This window comes from Homo sapiens, chromosome Y (assembly GCF_000001405.40).
Source record: "Homo sapiens chromosome Y, GRCh38.p14 Primary Assembly".
Lineage (NCBI taxonomy): Eukaryota > Metazoa > Chordata > Mammalia > Primates > Hominidae > Homo > Homo sapiens.
In genome coordinates this window covers 8,704,472-8,709,793 of record NC_000024.10, presented here as the reverse complement: position 1 = coordinate 8,709,793, position 5,322 = coordinate 8,704,472, and the positions used below count along the sequence as shown (strand labels likewise).

At 44.2% G+C, this 5,322-nt stretch overlaps 1 long non-coding RNA gene across 1 annotated transcript; it reads right to left on the bottom strand.

Annotated features, from left to right (window-relative positions):
* Positions 1-4,510: 4,510 nt before the first annotated feature.
* On the bottom strand, positions 4,511-5,322 carry TTTY19 (testis expressed transcript, Y-linked 19). The gene is made up of 2 exons (NR_001549.1): positions 5,235-5,322; positions 4,511-4,691 (listed from the first exon to the last, which is right to left on the bottom strand). It is a non-coding gene; the product is annotated as a testis expressed transcript, Y-linked 19 (long non-coding RNA).

The window sequence follows — 5,322 nt, the reverse complement described above, 5'->3', positions numbered from 1 at the left end:
TTTAGGGTTTCCTAAGTCTGGCCCAATGACTACCACCTTAAATGTTTCCCAGTTCATGGAGAACGATCCTCATGGGAAATTGCATGAGTGTTTCCTTCTGAACATTGTCATGTTTTAATGACTGGGAAGATTGATACTTTAAGACCGTATATTCCCTTTAGAGCCACCAAAAGGAAATTTGTTATCTCACATCTATCTGAGGGGTGCGTGATTCATGTAGGATGAGAAGCAGGCAGCCATATCAGGCTTTTACCTGGCAATCTAGACTTTGTTTCATTTCATCTGCTCAGCCTTTTCATTTTGGAGGGGCGCTTTCATTGAACTGTTGCTGGAAGGGGACTGCCAGTTGCCACAGATTATGTAGCTGCCAGAAATTTCAGACAGCAAAAGGGACTTCCATTTGGCTGGCTCCAAGCCACATCGTGGGTCATTATCTTGTTGTGGGGGCTGAATTTGTTTGCACTTCGCAGGAGGGTTATGGGTCTTCTAACAGGATTCATTGAACACTGCTTAGAGTCCAGCAGAAGGCAGCTCATTCTCTCAGGCAAGCCTTGTTTATTTATTTATTTTTATTGGTGCTTTCATGTGGAATCCACAGTGCCCCTCAACAGAACTAATGGACATATTTTTCAGGCTTGCCATTCTATAGACAGCATCTGAGACACTGTATAAACCTCATCTGCACCTGTGAGAGGACAATATGAGGTGTGAGAACACTGCTTCACATTGGACTTGCCTTTGTGTTGGTTCCTACTTTTCCCAGAAAGCCTCTGCAAGGCCTAGGATGAAGGGAGGCTGTGAGGCCAAGGGCTTGGCCATCTTTCGCTGACTTCCAACTTTGGGAAGTATGATTCTATCACCCAAAGAACCCTCAACAACACACCATACTATATTCCAATCCCCACAATACCCGATTCTCGCAAGCAACATGTTTTGGGAATGAAGTCAGAACAGTTTCCGTGACCACCTTAGAGTCTCAAAACCATTCCTCCTCCAGCAAGACCCGACCATGGAAACCATCTAAAGGAGTCCTGAGGTCTAGACTTTTAGTCTCTCACTGTAGGTTTTTGCAGGTCTCCTTTTTCTTGATATCAAGCTGGCTCTGCCTGTACCATTTCTTACTGCTTAGGCAGGCTGTCAGCTCTGACAGGGAACCAGGTCTGACTGCTATCTCTGGGTAGTGTCACAATTATTGTCATTGTTGCCTAGGGCCCAGTCCCTGTGGCTTGGAGAAGAGGGAGACCTCTGTGTAGTTGTGTATGCCATGGACTCCTACCTCTCTTCTCTGTAAGATAGACGAGATAGTCCCATGATCCCAAGGGAAGACAGGCATGAGAGTCTGAAGAAACATCAAGCACAATTCCAAAAATAAATTGTGAAATCCCTAAGGATGCAAAGAAATCTGCAAAATTACTCAGGCCTGCCTAGACATTGTAGTGGTGAGTCATTTTAAAACTTGACCTACTGTGATTTGTAGGTATAGCATGCCTGTGTTCCCCTTAGTTGCTGTCTCCCACCTGGGGCTTCCTGCAGAAGCACACTGCCTCAGAAGTTGCCATGCTATATGTTTCTGTGGGAATGTTGCAAATATTGGATGTCTGCATGTTTGTGTGACATTGTGTGTTTTTGTGTGTGTATGTGTAACTATAAGTGGTGTCTGCTTAAATGAATGTGGCTAATGCACTTCATCGCTTCTGTTTTTTTGAGTCACCAAGCCTTTAGATGGCCTGTTTTTTTGGCTCTGCTTGGGCTGCCAGTCTCCAAGTTCTCTATTTTTCTGTGGACCATGAATACACAGTGCATTGTGAGGCAGGCCGAGACCCACTGGAGTTTAATTCACCTCCCTCTGCAAAAAAAAAAAAAAAAAAAAAAAAAAAATCCACAATTCTAGAAAGAAGAGAAGCACACCACACCAAAAAACAGACATCTCCCAGTATTTCATTGTCCTGCAGCCAAACCAGGGAGAGACTCTAGCATTCCTGTCCATAGGGCCCCTTGAATTTACATTGAATTCGGTTCCCAGCCAAGCAGGAGCTTCACATCATGAGGGGCACCCTTTCATCATCTTGGGATTTTATACTGGGATATATAGTGTGAGCAGGAATAAGTTCAGAAAGAAGTGAGGATAAAATCTGATGAGGGGTGTATCTGGTCCTGCAACTTTAACTTCAAAATAAATAAATAAAGACAGATGACACAGAAGGTGATTCCAACTCCATCTCCGCACTCACTTAATTGCACAAGCAGTCCACTCTATGGGCCGGTGTTCAGGTGAGAGTACTCTAACATGCTAGGAACATTAGGAGTGCAAATAGGGACCTTCATGGCAAACTCCCGATTTGAGGGCTTTCATACCCATAGCCAAATGGAAGTGGAATGAATTGATTCTTGGTGGGATGTGGCTTACAGACTTTCCTATTCTTTTTCTAACTTCCGTGATTCTGATCACCCTAGGGTTTCCTGATTCTAGCTCAAGGAATTCAGCAATAAACGTTACCCAGTTAACAGGGAGCAACACAAATGGAAATCCATTGCCTGAGTGTTTCCTTCTAAACATTGTCAAATTCTAATGACTGGGAAGCTTTGATACTTTTAAAACTATAAATACCCATTAGAGCCACAAACAAGTAAATGTTGTCTCCTATTTCTATCTAAGGGCTGCACGATTTCTGTAGGATGCGAAGGAGGCAGGCATATCTGTCCATTGCCTGGTAATCTAGCCTCTATCATTGCATCTACATGGCCGTTTCATTGTGGAGGGGCTCTTTCATTGAGCTGTTGCTTGATGGGACTGCCTCTAGCAACAGATTATTTAGCTGTCAGGAATTTCAGAGAGTGGAAGGGATCTTGGATAGGCTGGCTGCATTCCAGGTTGCGGTTGTTGTTTCCTTGTGGGGGCTGAAGTGGTTTGCACATTGCAGGAGGTTTTGGGCCCTTTAACAGGAATCATTGAATTTTGCTTGGACTCCAGAACAATTTAGCTCATTCTCTCAGGTGAGCCTTGACTTTTCTATGCTTTCAAGAGGAATCCACAGTGCCCCTCAACAGCACTACTGGACACACTTTTCAGGCTTGCCATGGCCACAGGTGGACTCTGAGGTACTGACTCAAACTCATCTTTATCTGTGAGAGGCCAGTTCACAGTATGAGAACACTGCTCCACATTGGACTTGCATTTGTCTTGGTTTCTGCTTTTCCCAGATAGTCCTGGTGAGGACCAGGATCAAGGGAGTCATTGAGATAAAGAGCCTGGCCATCTTTTGTTGACACCCACTTCTGTGGCCTCAGGTATGATTCTATCACCCAAGGAACCCTCTACACTACACCAGACTGTATTTCAATCCACAGGGGACCCGATTATTGCACACAGCCTCTTTTGGGAATGGAGTCAGAAGAGTACTTTCTAGCGACCACTTCACAGCCTCAAAACAGCTCCTCCTCCAGTGAGACCTTACCATGGAGATGGTCAGAATAGGTCCTGAGATCTAGACTTTTAGTGTCTGACAGTGGGTTTTCACAGGCGGCCTGTTTTCTGACACCAGGCCGGCTTTGCCTGTAACATTTTTCTCTGCTTAGGCATGCTGACGGCTCTGTCAGCCAGGGGCTCTAGCCTACCTCATGAATGTGCATGTGCTAGTCCCAGGGCACCTGGCCTGATTGTCAGCTCTTGTTAGTGTCACAATGAATGCCACTCTTGCGTAGTGAAAATTCCCTGTGGCTTGGCAGAGATAGAGACCTCCGTAGAGGTGTGTCAGTGGTGAATTCTCCCCTGTCTTCTCTGTGGGATCCATGGGATTGTCCCATTGTTCTAAGAAGAAGTATACATGAGCCAGCCTGAATGTCAAGCAGAGCCCCAGGAATAAACCACAAAATTGCTAAGGATCTGAGAAGATCTGCAGGGTTATTAAGCCTGCCTAGACATTGTAGGTGTGAGTCATTATGAAAATTACCCTACTATTATTTCTAGGAGCAGCCCGTCTATGTTTCTCAGGGTTATTCTCTCCCAGATGGGGCTTCCTGCAGAACCACGCCACATCACAAGATGCCAGGCTGAGTGTTTCTATGGGAATGTTCCAAATGTCTGACGTGTGTGTGTGTGTGTGTGTGAGAGAGGCATTATGTTTTTGTGTCTTCTGTGTGTGTGTGTCTGTCTGTTACTGGAATCTGCTTAAAAAAATGTGGCTAACGCACTTCAGCACTTCTTTTTTTATAAGTCTCCACACCTTTTGGTGGCCTGTCTGTGTGACTCTGCATGGTCTTCACTGCTCTGTGTTCTTTATTTTTATGTGGATCATGAATCTGCAGTGAATTAGGATGTAAGTCTGGAATCGCTAGCATCCAAATAAACTCCCTCTGAAGAAAAAACAAAAACAACAAAACAAACAACAACAACAACAACAAAAACTGTTCTAGAAATAAGAGGAGCACACCATATTAAAAAAAAACAGACATGTCTCTGTGTTTCATATCCCTAAGGCCAACACAGGAAGAGACACAGCAGTCCTGTCAGCAGGGCACCTTGAATTTACCTCAAATTTGGTTCCCAACTGAGCAGGTGATGCATCTTGTGAGGCAGCACCCCTCCAGAGTTTTGGGATTTTATCTTGAGACAAATAATGTGAGCAGCAATAAGGTCAGATAGAGGTGAAGATACAGTCTGTTGAGGGGTAGAAGATGTCTTGCAACTTCATCTGCAAAATAAATAAATAAATAAAGACAGATGACACAGAAGGTGCTTCCACATCCACCCCCCATTCTCTTAATTGCACAAGCAGTCCACAACCTGGCTCAGTGTTCAGGTGGGAGTACTCCAATGTACAAGTAACATTTGAAGTGCAAATTGGGGCTATCCTGGCAAACTGAGGATTTGGGGCCTTTCATACTTGAAGCCAAATGTGAGTGGAATGGATTGATGCTTTGTGGGATGTGGCTTTAAGACTTGCCTCTTCTTTTTAGAACTTCCATGATTCTCATTGTCCTAGGGTTTCCTGGGTCTGGCCTAACGACTTCAATACTTAATATTTCCCAGTTCATGGATAACAACACTCATGTTAATCTATTGCATGAATGTTTCCTTCTAAACACTGTCATGCTTTAATGACTGGAAAGTTTGATACATTCAAAACTGTATATTCCCATTACAGCCACCAAAAGGAAACTTGTTCTCTCTTACATATTGAAGAGCTGCATGATTTCTTTTGGATGAGAAGCAGGCAGTTGTGTCAGTCTTTTACCTGGGAATCTAGACTATTTCATTTCATCTTCATGGCCTTCTCAATTTGGAGGGGTGCATTCATTGAAGTGTTGCTCAATGGGACTGTC